The sequence below is a fragment of the Homo sapiens genome, chromosome 18, assembly GCF_000001405.40.
Source record: "Homo sapiens chromosome 18, GRCh38.p14 Primary Assembly".
Classification (NCBI taxonomy): Eukaryota; Metazoa; Chordata; class Mammalia; order Primates; family Hominidae; genus Homo; species Homo sapiens.
In genome coordinates, this window is record NC_000018.10 from 12,103,504 (window position 1) to 12,119,657 (window position 16,154).

A 16,154-nucleotide genomic window follows, 5' to 3' on the forward strand; every position below is an offset into this window, starting at 1 on the left:
ATTGAATTATAATTTTAAGCAATAAAAATTATGAATAATTTAACAATGGTGGCTGCTGATTTGGATTCCTGTTAAAGAAGTAATCATTGCCAATGGTCCAAAATTTGCAGTTTTATATTACTGGTGACTAATACCAAGATTAAAAATGTATTCTCCATTGTGATCTCTTACTAATTTCAATATCTATGTTCAGGGCAGAATGGGGTCATAAAATCAACCCAACTCTACCTATCAAGAGAATCAGACCTTGCAAAATGGCACTTTTGGTGTTTGGGTTCAAGCAAAAATGTTCCCAATTTATTTCAACATAGGAAATCTGCAAATATTGTTAAATTTTTAAAATCAACTGTCATTTGTGGACCTGAAAATTTATTAGAACTTGACTTAAGCCTATAGTTTATATAGCTATATAACACTATCATATTACAGTATATAATTTGAATTAAAATGTAAGAATTTGCTTTTCTTTTGATTGGGGTTGATTTTGACTCCTAATAATTTTAAGTTTGCCTACTCACCGGTTAGTAATCTTTGGAAAAAAACACTCAAATGTGCACTATTGGGTATCAGTATTTCCAGTACAGTGAGATAAAATCTTGTTAAGTGAAGATGCCTTTGTACTCCTAAAAATGATCTCTTATTTTCATTTTTGGTAAATCTATCACACAATGAATTAATGTTACTCCAGACACTGTCAAAGTAAAGTTTGATAGTTTGTGTTTTTCTTATATTTTAGGCTTATGCAAACTATTTTTCACTTTTTGGTTACAAGACAGTAATTTGGGATTAGGTAAACATAGATTAAGAAATTTAACAGTTAAATTTTCATTTTTTCATACTTCATTATTTAAAGACAAAGTTATCCTTAAAACATATACCCTGACAGAAAAGACATCTGACAAACAAAACTCATAATCTTCCACTTTCACATCTGCAAAAAATGTCTCAACAAACAGAAGTGAACAAGTATTGTAATAGCATATATCTGTATATACAAGACTCCCTTATGTGCAAAAGTATGAGGAAAACGTGGATCAAACAAGACAAATGAGGTGGAAAAAAACTTTAAAACTCATCAAAATTGAGTTAAAGCAGAATTTGGGTGAAATTTGTGAAGAATACAAAACTGCTGCCTCGTTTTTAGGAAGAGACACTCCATGATAACTCTACAGGAATAGCAAACTTAAAGAAAATACCCTCAAATTTGACAAATAATGCACCTGATTGTCAGGAAAAGATGTATCTAGAGTGTTCATCTAATATGTATTCCTAATATTTCCTGTTTAAAAATAGTGCAGCCTCATAAATGTCTTTTGATCTCATTTATACTCTTGGCCTCCAGAATTTGCTTGCCAGTCATCTTCTGATTTTTATTTAAATGAAAATAAAGTATACTGTGAAAATAGTAACAGACCAGACACAGAACATGCTTTTAACATAGACTGGGAGAATTTTATAATGACACAAAAAGTACAAAAGCAAGGAACCCAGAAGTAGTTACAATTGAAATAAAAGAAGACCAAGAGTGTTATAGGTACATGATGAAAAAATCACCAACATAACATTAATTGCAAATTGGACATCAGAAATGTGCCTCAGTTTAGTGATCCAACAAGCCTTTTAGATTTGTGGCTTACCTGCTCCAGAGAAATTAAGTATGTGAGAAAAAGAAAAAGCGTAGTGTTTCTGTTGTTACAGACACTTAATAAGAATACAAAACCAATTCAAAACTTGTTCCACAAACCATTATATCATAATTACAGTACAAATAACTATAAAAGAATAGAACTTGGATTAGAAAATGTGCATTCTTCTCCACCACACAGTGACAGAGCATTAAAAGTACATCTAGAAGAATAGTTACAGCACAATATACAAAGACTTAAGAATGAGGCACGCATATTACAACTAGAGTTCCAGCCCTTGTGGCTGCTTTCATGGTCTGATGTTGAGTGCCTGCAGCTTTTCCAGGTGCACAGTATGAGCTGTCAGTGGATCTACCTTTTTGGGGTCTGGAAGATGGTCACTCTCTTCTCACAGCTCTTCTTAGAAAGAAAAAAGAAAAGTTCAGAAAGATTTACAGGGCCACTTGCTGCCACTCGTTTTTTTTCTCTTGACCAATTATTTGGTGCATTCTAATTTTTTTTACTTATGAAAAGCTCTTACATAAAATCGGGTTATCTATATACATAATTGTGCATAGAAATAGGCTGTTTCTCAATTTAAATGATAGGAGATCAGGAAAACATTCTATAATCTTCATTACTTGATCAACCCAAGTCTGTCTGTCCATTTTACAAGTGGCATAGGGACTGGGAAAAAAATCTATTCATATATCATGGATATAGACACTTGTAAACTAGGGTTAGCCTATAGGAAATTGCTTAAAAATTTAATAAGCTCTAGGGTTTAATTTTTCCCTATTGACTTAAAGATGAATTGCACTTACTTAAAGTGGGAAATCAATGGGAAGGAAGCAATGACTGAGAAGTGCTATAAAAATGTGTCTGTCCTTGAGAGTTGGAACAAATATTCATGGGCAAAGGAATCTGTATGTTGTGCTTTCAGGTGTGCAAATTGATCCATTTAACTCAATATGTTAAGGCTTACAATTTCATCATGACAACCTTAAGTATATTTGAAAACAAATGTATATAGATATCTCCACCTATTTTTTAATCACAACTTCCGCATGTTTCTGTCAAAGCAGATCTTAATGTGATTTTGTTTAATAGAGCATAAGTTTTAGCATGTATAACTTTATTATGTCAGTACCATGGATTCTCAGCCCAAAATTTAGTATTTGACTCCAAAGTAGCAACATGATTTCGGTACATCGAGTTTTAAAGATAGACAAAAATCTGGTGATGTTCATCTTAAAAAGTAAAAGTAGATGAGGCCTCTCAGCCCCTTCTGAGGCATTATGTTACTTTCCCAGAGTTACACTTTTAATTCTTCTGATTAATTTGATGAATTTATCGGTAATTTATCTGATTCAGCCTTATGAAACAGTATTATCAGGTTTTGTGCAATAAAATGCTGGAAAATGCCAGGGGATTTAGATGAATCATTTAATCTTTTTTGATAATGGGGCCAAAGTAGATAATTACTTACACTGTATATCCTCCAGCTATAAAATGTCATGGTTACTGAATGTGAAATTGGGGAAGCATCTCATTTTCCAGAACTCTAAAGTAGCATCTCAGCAGTTTCACTCTGCTTTTGTGGTTTCAAATTTTGGTTCTTGTATTTCAGCAAGCACCTTCACATTTTCAGTATCCTAGGATCCAAAGGGAGAAAGTAAAATAAAAGACAGTGGGAAAAGAAAGCTTACCGTAGAAAGGGGAAAGCTTCCTTTCTGTTCTTGAAGCCCCACAATATCACATCCTCTAAATCTGGCCGTTTAGTGTAAACTCCAGGAGGTAAAGATAGAAGAGGACAGATTTGATGGCTTCGTCTTTTTATTTCTCTATTTCTGCTCATCACAAGGGCACCGGGGGTGAAAATGTATATTAGACAGCAATGGGAATAAAAGCACAAATTTGGAATGGGCCCATTTTGAAAGTTTTGAAAATTTTATTCACTCAAACAGAAATAAATCAGACTTTATATGAATTTCAATAAAAATTATAATATAATTATATATAATGAAAAAGTAAGCACAAGGTATTTTATCATGTCATGACTAATATGACAGACTGAGTCAAGTGATTAAATGAATGAACACAAAAAAGTTCTTTCTATTGGATAAAATAATGACAATTATTCTCAGTATGAAACTTTCATTGAAGGTTGAAGAAAAAATGAAGAAATGCAGAAATAAGAAAATGGAAGTGTCAAGAAACGTACATGCTGATGACAGTGACAATTATAATGATGATGTTGATGAATTAATTCACAAAATAAAGAACAGAAAACCTGATAATCATCAATCTCCTGGGAAGGAGAATGGCGAGTTTGATAGGTAATCCTGTAGCGATAGTTAACAGCGGATCACTGTTAATTGTACTATAAAATGAATTCTAATTTGGGTTAATATGTACGATTAACAAATTTTATACTTTTATGAGGAATATTCTGCCTTGCCTGGTAATCATAAAATGCAAATTAACAAGCAATGAGATATGGTCTTTCCAATCATATTGATGTTTTATTTAAAAAGTAACTAGACAAATGTGAAGAAAGACATCCTCTTATACACTGTTGCTAAATGAAATTGGTAAATCTTTATTGAAGGGTAGTTCAGTAGCATGCATCACAATTTTAAATATATCATTTCGTTAACCTGACAGCTTTACTTCTGGGACTAGATTCTACAGGAAAATATGAGTTTACACATACACACAAGCAGTTGAGGTCATTAATTGTATATTTATTATACATATGATGTAGAAGATATCTTGTATATCATATATATAACATGCAATAGGCCAACATATATATGCATGTGTAGTTATTTCTTTATATGAAATTGTTGCGTGCATACATATATATGGTAAGAACTTTCATTATAGCATTGTCATATCAAAATGTTTGAGATTGTGTAAAAGTCTGTTAATTAAAGGAAATAAGTAGTCACACCCATAAAATAATGTACTATGCAACCCTCTTATAAAAATGAAGTTGCATTTATAGTGTAGTGATTATTTCACCAGTAAAGTATCTTTAAAGCATTGGGTTTGATAACACATCTTGTATTAGTCTATTTTCATACTGCTGTAAAGACACTACCTGACACTGGGTAATTTATAAACAAAAGAAGTTTAATTGACTCACAGTTCCTCCTGGCTGGGGAAGCCTCAGGAAATTTACAATCATGACAGAAGGCAAAGGAGAAGCAAGCACCTTCTTCACAAGGCGGTAGGAGAGAGTGAGAGCAAGGAAGTGCCACACTTTAAAAACATTAGCTCTTGTGAGAACTCACTCACTATCACAAGAACAGCATGGGGGAAACAGCCTCCATGATCAAGTCACTTCCCACCAGGTCTCTCTTCTGACAGGTAGGGATTATGATTTGAGATGAGATTTTGGTGGGGACACAGCACCAAACCATATTATTCCACCCTGGCCCCTTTCAAATCTCATGTCCTTTTCACATTTCAAAACCAATACTGCCTTCCCAACAGTGCCCCCAATGTCTTAACTCAGTCAAGCTTTAACCCAAAAGTCCAAGTTCAATGTCTCATCCAAGACAAGGATGTGAGCCTGTGAAATCAAAAATTAGTTAGTTAGTTCTAAGATACAGTGGGGGTACATGCATTGGGTGAATGTTCCCATTCCAAATGGGAGAAATTAGCCAAAAGAAAGGTGCCATGGGCCCCATGCAAGTCTGAAACTCTACTTGGCAGTCATTAAATCTTAAAGCTCCTAAATGATCTCCTTTGACTCCATTTCTCACATCCAGGGCACACTGATGCAAAATGTGGGCTCCCATGGCCTTGGGCAGCTCTGCCCCTGTGGCTCTGCAGGGTTCAGCCCTTGTGGCTGCTTTCACAGTCTGATGTTGAGTGCCTGCAGCTTTTCCAGGTGCACAGTATGAGCTGTCAGTGGATCTACCTTTCTGGGGTCTGGAAGATGGTCACCATCTTCTCACAGCTCTTCGAAGCAGTGCCCCATTGGCAACTCTTTTTGGGGGCTCCAACTCCACATTTCCCTTCTGCACTGCCCTAGCAGAGGTTCTTCATGAGGGCTCTGCCCCTGCAGCAGACTTTTGCTTGGACATCTAGGCATTTCCATACATCCTCTGAAATCTAGGCAAAGGTTCCCAAACCTCACCTCTTGTGTTCTGTGCACCTGTAGGCCCAACACCACATGGATGCTGCCAAGGCATGGGTTTTTCACTCTCTAAAGCAACAGCCTGAGCTGTGCCTTGGCCCTTTTTATCATGGCTGGAGCTGGACCAGCTGGGATGCAGGGTGCCATGTCCCGGGTCTGCACAGAGCAGTGGGGCCCTAGCAAATTTTGTCGGAATACAATACTGTATGATCTTAATACTTGTAGTGTTTACTGAGTTAGAAAAGGAAGCTACATGCTATGTTGGCACTTTACTTTGTTACCAACATAATCGTTAGTTATAAAATTGTTGTTTTTCTCAATGCAAAAGTGCTCAAATATTGGACCTTTATAATAATCTGAATATTGCCAAGGGATTGTACATGGGGATCCATATTTTATATAAATATTTACAATATTGCTAAACGTTATCGAAGTATATCAAAGGACCTTTGATCTACCAAGCCAGGAGTTGGCCAACTTTTTATGTAAAGAACCAGATAGTAACAATTTTAGGCTTTATGGACCAGAGGGTCTGTGTTGTTGTAGTCCAACATCTTTCATAGACAATAAATGAATAGGTGTCACTCTGTCACTCGATAAATGAATTACTGTCATTCAATAAATGAATAGGTTTCGTTGTCATTCAATAAAAGAATAGGTTTCACTGTTACCAAAAAAAAAAAAAAAAAAAAACAGACAGACAGGTAGTAGGCTGAATTTGGCACACACTATTAATTTGCTGACCTGTGTGCTTAAAACCAAGGTGCTGCCAATGCAGTGTATTTCCTGTTTAGAGGCACTCTCAATGCATGTCTTTAGTCTTCCTTTGAAAAGTATGCACCACACCATATTTTTCATTAGTGACTTCATATTGTATAATTTACAAAAATTAAGTTTACGAAATAAGATATTTTTGCATTGTCACTTTTTATTCTTGTTACAGAATTGAGTATTTTAGTATGACTAATTGTTTTGTGTATTTGATGAGTATAAAATGTCTCAGAGTTGGGTGAGTTTTCTCAAGTAAGAAATACTGTCCTTGAAATCATTAGTCTTTCTATGGTCTTTATAAGCATGAGCAAAATGATAATCACTTTTATATAATCTAGAAATGCTCTATAATTTTATGGCTTTATTCATTTATACCATGGTCTGGCTTATAAAAATGCCATATGTGTATAATTTTTTAAATGCTTAAGGTGTTAAAACATACTAGGTAATTAATCATTATAAAAGTATTGGGAAATACAGCTGAACAAGAAGAAAATTAGGTCATCCACGATAATGCCACTTAGGTATGATGTCCTTGAAGTTGAACTGTCTGTACTCATGGACTCAACCTTCCCTTCCATTCACTCTTGAACTCACTGCTGTAATTTTCACTCTCACCGCTCCTCCAAAGTTGTTATTCTCAAGCTTGTCATTTTTTCACTGTAATACATCTAGACATAATTTCTTAGATCTCATTTTATTTAACCTACCAGCAATATTTGACCCCATGGAGAACTTTCTCCACCATATCACTTTGTTCACTTGGCTTTCAGAATGTCAGTCACTCACCTAGATTTTCCTCCTGCCTTTCTAGTTGTTTTAGTTGTGACATTAGGTTGTGAACTTAAGATCTTTCTTTTTGATGTGAGCATTTAGCTTCATCCCTGTGATGCAAGGTTGTTTCAACATGTGCAAATCAATAGGCCAGGCACAGTGGCTCACGCCTGTAATCCCAGCACTTTGGGAGGCTGAGGTGGGCGGATCATGAGGTCAGGAGATTGAGACCATCCTAACATGATGAAACCCTGTCTCTACTAAAAATACAAAAAATTAGCCAGACGTGGTGGCACACACCTGTAGTCTCAGCTACTCAGGAGGCTGAGGCAGGAGAATTGCCTGAACCCGGGAGGCAGAGGTTGCAGTGAGCCAAGATTGCACCACTGCACTCCAGCCTTGGTGATAGAGCGAGACTGCCTCTCAAAAAAAAAAAAAAGATCAATAAATGTAATTAATCAAATAAACAGAATTATTCTGTTTATTATTGAGATAATCACATCTCAATAGATTCAGAAATGTCTTTTGATGAAATTCAACATTTATGTTAAAAGCTCTCAACTAGTTATTGAAGGAACATACCTCAAAATAATAAGAGCCGTATATGACAAACCCACAGCAAACGTCATACTGAATGAGCAAAAGCTGGAAGCGGTCCCCTTGAAAAGTGGCACTAGACAAGGATGCCCTCTCTCACCACTTCTTTTCAACGTAGTATTGTAAGTTCTGGCCAGGGTAATCCATCAAGAGAAAGAAATAATGGGCATCCAAGTAGGAAGAGAGGAAGTCAAACTATCTTAGTTTGAAGATGACATGATCCTATACCTAGAAAACCACATAGTGTGAGGCCAAAATCTTCTTAAGCTGATACAACTTGAGGAAAGTCTCAGGATACAAAATCAATGTGCAAAAATTAGTACCATTCCCATAGACCAACAATAGTGAAGAGCCAAACCAAGAACTAATTCTTACTCACAATTGCCACCAAAACAACAACAACATAAAAACCTAGGAATACAGCTAAGTAGAGAGGGGAAAGATCTCTACAAGGAGAACTACAAAACACTGCTCAAAGATAGAGTTTGAAACCAGCCTGGCCAACATGGTGAAACCCTGCCTCTACTAAAAATACAAAAATTAGCCGGGCGTGGTGGCAGGCACCTGTAATCTCAGTTACTTGGGAGGCTGAGGCAAGAGAGTTGCTGGAACCCAGGAGGCGGAGGTTGCAGTGAGCAGAGATCATGCCATTGTGCTTCAGCCCAGGCCGACAACAGCAAGACTCCAACTCAAAAAAAAAAAAAAAAAAAAAAGTCATACTGCCCAAAGCATTTCGTAGACTCAATGCTGTTCCTATTAAACTACCATTGACATTCTTTACAGAACTACAAGAAACTATTTTAAAATTCATAGGGAACCAGAAAAGGGTGTGAATAGCCAAGGCAGTCCTCAGCAAAAAGAACAAAGCTGGAGGAATCACACTACCTGACTTCAAACTATACTACAGAGTTACAGAAACCAAACAACATGGCACTGGTTCAAAAACAGACACATGGACCAGTTGAACAGAATAGAGAACCCAGAAATATGAACACACACCTGCAACTCTCTGATCTTCAACAAACCTGACAAAAAGCAACAAGGACAGGACCGTATTTAATAAATGGTACTGGGATAACTGGCTAGCCATATGCAGAGGATTGAAACTTCACCCTTTCCTTACACCATAAACAAAAATTACCTCAAGATGGATTAAAGATTTAACTGTAAAACCAAAAACTATAAAAACCCAGGAAGACAATCTAGGCAATACCATTCTGGACATAGGCACCGGCAAAGATTTCATCATGAAGATGCCAAAGCAATTGCAACAAAAGCAAAAATTGACAAATGGAATCTAATTAAACTAAGGAGCTTCTGCACAGCAAAAGAAACTGTCATCAGACTGAACAGACGACCTCCACAAGGGAAGACGTTTTGCAAACTATGCATCTGGCAAAGGTCTGATATCTAACATCTGTAAGAAACTTAAATACAAGAGAAAACCCCATAAAAAGTGGGCAAAGGACATGAACAGATTTCTTTTTTTCTTTTTCTTTTAGTCTGGCGTTGTCTCCCAGGCTGGAGTGCAGTGCTGTGATCTCCACTCACTGCAACCTCCCCATCCCGGGTTAAGTGATTCTCATGCCTCAGCCTGCCGAGTAACTGGGACTACAGGCATGCCCTACCACACCCTGCTAATTTTTGTATTTTTAGCAGAGATGGGTTTTTGCCGTGTTGGTCAGGCTGGTCTCGAACTCCTGACCTCAGGTAATCTGCCCACCTTGGCCTCCCAAAGTGCTGGGATTACAGATGTCAGCCGCTGCTCCAGGCCAAGAACAGATACTTTTCAAAAGAAGACATACACAAGATCAACAAACATGGAAAAAAAGCTCAACTTCACTGATCGTTAGAGAAATGCAAATCATAACCCCTATTAACATGCCATCTAACACCAGTAAGAATGGCTATTATTAAAAAGTCCAGGCTGGGCATGGTGGCTCACGCCTGTAATCCCACCACTTTGGGAGACCGAGGCAGATGAATCACGAGGTCAGGAGTTTGAGACCAGCCTGACCAATATGGTGAAACATCGTCTCTACTAAAAATACAAAAATTAACCTGGCGTGGTGGCACTCGCCTATAATCCCTGCTACACAGGAGGCTAAGGCAGGAGAATTGCCTGCACCTGGGAGGCGGAGGTTGCAGTGAGCCAAGATCACGCCACTGCACTCCAGCCTGGGTGACAGACTGAGACTCCGTCTCAAAAAAAAAAAGTACAAAAATAACAGATGCTTGTGAGGTTGTACAGAAAAAGGAATGCGTATACGCTGTTGGTGGGAGTGTATATTATTAGTTCAGCCATTGTGGAAAACAGTGTGGCATTTCCTCAAAGACAGAAGTACCATTCAACCTAGCAATCTTATTACTGGGTATATACCCAAAGGAATATAAATTATTCTGTTATAAAGACACATGCATATGTTCATTGCAGTACTATTCACAATAGCAAAGACCTGGAATCAAAGTAAATGCCTATCACTCATAGACTGGATATAGAAAATGTGGTACATATATACCAGGAAATATTAGGTAGCCATAAAAAATGAGATCATGTCATTTGGTGGAACATGGATGGAGCTGGTGGCCATTATTCTTAGCAATTTAACACAGTAAAAGAAAACCAAACACCACATGTTCTCTCTCACAAATGGGAGCTAAATGGTGAGAACACATAGACACATTGATAGGAGCAAAACACACTGGCACCTTCTGGAAGGTGGAGTGGAGGATGAGTGGAGGGAAAGGATCAGGAAGAATAACTAATGAGTACTAGGCTTAATACGTGTGTGATGAAATAATCTGCAACAAAACCCCGTGACACAAGTTTACATATATAACAAACTTGCAGTTGTACCACTGAACTTAAAAAAAATGCCAAGATTAAAATCTTATTTTTAAAATATTACAAGATTCAGACATTATTACTTATATTCACAAATGGAAAGATAATATGAATTCATCTGCTATCATATTACTTGAAAATAAATATTACTTTCATAGCATATTGCGAAACGCATGTTTTGGAGCCAAAGTTCTTGGGTTTGAATGCTTAGTCTGCTATTGAACAGTTTTATGTGTTTGGGCAGGTTATGTGGCCTTTCTGTGCCTAGTTTCTTTCTTTATAAAATATCTATTATGTTACCTACTTTACAGAATTGCTGGGAGGATTTAAATGACTTAAATACATGTACAGTGTTTAGAATAGTGCACAGTACTTGCGCAGTATGTCCCAAAAAGGCTAGCTAATGTTATCATTAAAAAAGGGATTCTGTTACACAAGTAATATTTATCAAATAGGTCTTAGTACCAGTAAAACTTTGTTTGTATTGAAAAGGGCAAAACCCCAGGATACGTATTTTTTTATCAAATACTGCAAATAACATGTTTTTTTTTCTGTCTTTGATGATCAGAAAGCTTGATTTAAACTTAATTTTTTGATATTAATATATTTCATTTGTCCTGTAGTGCTACCCTTTCCATTTAGTTTTTCCCCTTGTAAAAAAAATTGTATTTTGCATCACCTGTAAAAACATTACCTGTAAACATTATAAATAAGAGAGAGAAACTACAAACACAGAGATTTTATATAAAAAAGTTTTAGATATTCTTTGTATTTTACATATTTACTATTTGCCTGATTGGAATTTTTTGGTTTTTTTTTTAGGCTTGCAAGGAAAACCTCTAATGAAAAGAGCAAGGTATTATAAAAGTAAATTGTCAAGAATGCTGTTGAACATACCTTAAAAAAGATCATGGTAAAAAACAGAAAATCTTTTGCTGTAAAGACATTGACTTTGATAAAGCAGCGGTAACCATTCATAAAAGCACCCTTTTAACCAAAGTCAGTTATTTTAAGAAGTACCTGTGTTTTTGCTCATGTAAAAAGACGGATAATTCCCACTGGTGTATATTTAGTATATGCTATAAATATTTCGAGGGCATTTTGAAACAGTGTTATTTATTTTATAGGTTAAAAGCCAAATATATTTCACGGATGACCTTAATGACATAAGTGGGTCATCTGAAAAAACCTCAGAGGATGATGAGTTGCCTTACTCTGATGATGAGAATTTTATGTTACTCATTGAACAAAGTGGAATGGAGTGTAAAGGTAGGACCAATGCATAAATATAAGGCTCTTTCCCTATCCTATAGTAATGTATGCACATATTGCTTAGCACGGCACCATAGAACACTGATGTGTTATAGGGATGTTCATCTCGGAAATATCCTTCTTGTGAACATAGAATGAGAACTACTCTATCTTGTATACTCTTAGCCAAAGAGCTGTGATCATTCCACTGTACCTTTCTCAGTGTGAATGACACTCCCAATCTATTTGTTGACTCTGCTTCTCCTCTATGCCTTTACCCAGGGTCAGGTTGTCATTATCTTGTACCTGGAATACTGTGATAACCTTACACCTCTTTTCCCTACTGCCCCACCTTCCAAAGCCATGGTCTATTCTGCAATCATAATTATATACATTTTTAAAATTCACATCTGATCATGTTACCTGCTTGCTTAACACCCAACTGCCACTTGTCATTGCTATAAGGTAAAGATGACAATGCTCTAGCTTTATACTGCTTCATTCCATACCCTTGTTTCTCTGTGTGTCACAGCCAGTGCCCCAGGTGTTTGCTCCTACAATCAGTAGCTTCAGTGAGGTATAACTGATACATGTTAAAGTGCACATATGTAAAGTGTATAGTTTGATAAGTTTTGACAGATACATACCCGTGTGAAAGTGTCACCATAATCAAGATAGTTATCCATAACCCACAAAAGTGTCCTATGCTGCTTTATGTTCCTTTTTTAGAAAAAGCTGCCAAATTGTTTTCAAAAAAAGTGTACTATTTCCATCTGATCAGCACAACAGGACAGTTGCGGTTACTGTGTTGTCACACTAAGTATTGCAGTATTTATTTGTAGCCATTCTTATGGGTGTGGTTAATATGCATGATCCTAATGACTAAACATGTTCACCTCATATACACAAACTTTGTTTCATGCACAAAATTATTAAAAGTATTTTTTTAATTACCATCTGTCTTTGTGAAATAGTATTTTGTGTTTAGACTTGGGTCCTATCGCCAAGATATCTCATTATGTAGATGCAAATATTCCAAGATCCAAAACCTGAAACACTTCTGGTCCCAAGCATTTTTAATAAGGAATATTCATCCTGTACCAGTGGCCAACTGTTTTGGTTACTGTTGATGTATAATAATTGTTGAAGTTGATTTTTCTATTCTTTGTTGTGTTTTGCTTATGCTAGATTTTGCATTTCCACGTGAACTTTAGAATCAGCTTGTCAATTTAAAAAAATTTAGAATCACCTCGTCATTTAAAAATGTCCAACGAGTGCTGGCTTGTTGGACATTAGGTTAGAATTGTGTTGCATTTATAGATTAATTTATGGAGAATTGACTTCTTAACAATAATGAATCTTCCTACTCTTTAAAAAAATGGATGTCTGCATTTATATGTCATATTTAATTTTCTCAGTAATATTTTGTAGTTTTTAGTGTATACGTCTTTCTATAGTTTATCAGATTTATCTCTGTTTCAGTTTTTGATGTAGTTGTAAATCATATGCTTAAAAATTTAGTCTGATTGTTTATCACGAGGGTATGGAAATACAGTTGATTTTTGTATGTTGGTTTTGCATACTTCAATCTTACTGAACTCACTTATTAGTCCTGGTACTAATAATACTCACTTATTAATTCTTGGTAGATTTGATCCGATTTTCTACATAGACCAAAGATTTTCAAACCTTTTCTTTCTCAAAGTACCCTCTTATTAAAGACTTGTGGCAAAAGGGGTCTCTGTTGTAGCTGATAGACTCTGCCATTGTAATATGAGAGCAGCCCTAGACAACCTGTACAATTAATGAACACAGCTGTGCTCATTGACGAAGACAAAAAGCTGGCCCACAGGTTAGAGTTTACGTAAACCTATTGTGTGGTCATGGTTGTGTACAAAGACAGTTTTATTTATTTTTTCAACTGGGATGACTTTTATTTCTTTTTCTTACCTGACTGCACTAACTAGACTCTTCAGAACAATGCTGCATAAAAGCAGTGAAAGCAGACATTCCTGTGTTGTTCTTTATCTTCTGGAGAACATATTCAGTTTTTCACCATGATACATGTTAGCTGTAGGTTCATCATAGATGTTCTTTATCATGCTGAGGAAGGTCCCTGGATTCTTATTTTGCTGAGACTTTTTCATTTTTACAAAATCAGCAATGAGTGTTGAATTGTATCAAATGCCTGTATCTGTCGAGATGATTCTGTGGATCTACTGTTTTCCGTTGTTAATCTGGCAAATAACAACGATGTTTGAATGTTAAGCCAACCCTGCAGTCCTGGGAAAAAACCCCATTTGTTTATGATGTATTGTCCTTTTATTATACTGTTGGATTCAATTTGCTAAAGAAGTTATGATAAAGTCTTTATTGGTTTATTATAAAGACTTTATTTATCAGACCAGTTTTATGTTCACAGCAAAATTGAGAGGAAGGTACAGAGATTTTTCAAATACCCTCTACCTGCACACATATGTAGCCTCCCTCCTTATCAGTAACCCTCCCCTTAGTGGTACAGGTGCTGTAATGGATGAGCCTACATTGGCACATCAGAATCACCTGCAGCCCATAGTGTGCATTGTACACTGGTGCTATACATCGTATGGGTTTGGTCTTAAGGTACACTGACATGTATGCGTGTCATATACATTATTTTCACCTCCCTAAAAATCCTCAGTACTCTGCCTGTGTATCCTTTCCTGGTGTCCCTCATCCTCTGGCAGCCACTGATGTTTTTACCATATCCATAGTTTTACATTTTCCAGAAAGTCATATAGTTGGAATCATACAGAAAGTAGCCTTTTTAGGCCGGGCACGGTGGCTCACGCCTGTAATCCCAGCACTTTTGGGAGGCCAAGATGGGTGGATCACCTGAGGTCAGGAGTTCAAGATCAGCCCGGCCAACATGGCGAAACCCTGTCTCTACTAAAAATACAAAAAGTAGCCGGGTGTGGTGGCGGGCGCCTGTAATCCCAGCTACTCAGGAGGCTGAAGCAGGAGAATCGCTTGAAGCTGGGAGGCAGAGGTTGCAGTGAGCCAAGTTTGTGTCATCGCACTCCAGTCTCGGAGACAGAGTAAGGCTCTGTCTTAAAAAAAAAAAAAAAAAAAAGAAAGAAAGTAGCCTTTTTAGGTTGACTTGTTTGACTTGGTAATATGCATGTATGGTTCCTTCATGTATTTTCATGGTTTGATTTGTCATATCTTTTTAGCATGGAGTAATATTCCATTGTTTGGCTGTTTAACCACAGTTTATTCATTCACGTATTGGAGGATGTCTTGGTTGTTTCACAAATTGGTTCAATTTTTACATTCACGCTCATGAGGGAGTTTTTTTTATTGGTAATATCATTGTCTGGTTTTGGTTCAGGGTAATGCTAACATTAAAGAGTGAGTTGGGGTGTACTCTTTTTTGTTTCTTTTTGGAGAGTTAGTGTTGAATTGTATTATTTCTTCTGAAAATGTTTAGTGGAGTTCACTGCCATAGCTAGCTGAGTTTGAATTTCTTTTTCTAGGACGGTCCTCAGCTATGACTGAAGTTTATTTTTTATATTTAGGGCAATTCAGGTTATTTATTGCTTCTTGGTTAAGATTTAGTAATTTTCCCTTTTAAGGAATTTGTTAATTTTATCTATTTTGTCATGTTTACACATAAAAATTATAATGTCACCTTGGTTTTTTTTTGTATCTGTACAGTCTGTAATCATGTGACATTACTCATTTCTGAAATTAGTAATTTGTATTTTCTCTTCTTCTTGATCAGCCAGGGTAAATAGAGATTTCTCACATTTATCAATCTCCCAAAGTGTTTGGTGTTGCTGATCTTCTTCTTTTTTTTTTTTTTTTTCTGAAACCAGTAGTATAACAAAATACCATAGACTGGGTAGCTTATAAACAGTAGAAAATGATTTCTTACAGTTCTGGAGTCTGCAGAGTCCAAGGTCAAGGTGCTGTCAAATTTGCTGTGTGGTAAGGAACCTTCCTGGATCATAGATGTGTTCTTTTTCTCTGTGTCCTCACATGGCAGAAGGGGCGGAGGAGCTCTCTGAGGTGTGTTGTGTAAGAACACTAATCCCATTCAGGAGGGCTTGGCTCTCATGATAAGACTACCTCTAAAAATCCGCCCTTGTGATTAGGTTTC

The 16,154-nt window shown here is 36.5% G+C and overlaps 1 protein-coding gene across 2 annotated transcripts in view; it reads left to right on the forward strand.

The window, feature by feature from the left end:
* The window catches only part of ANKRD62 (ankyrin repeat domain 62), an 87,842-nt gene that overhangs the window by 9,661 nt on the left and 62,027 nt on the right, over positions 1-16,154 (forward strand). For both annotated transcript variants that reach the window (XR_001753188.2, NM_001277333.2), the window contains exons 8-10: positions 3,792-3,964; positions 11,585-11,618; positions 11,890-12,031. Coding sequence is in view for 1 of the 2 variants with exons in the window: in NM_001277333.2 (NP_001264262.1) it covers positions 3,792-3,964; positions 11,585-11,618; positions 11,890-12,031 (349 nt within the window). In the remaining variant the exon portion in view is untranslated. The remainder of the gene's footprint in view (positions 1-3,791; positions 3,965-11,584; positions 11,619-11,889; positions 12,032-16,154) is intronic.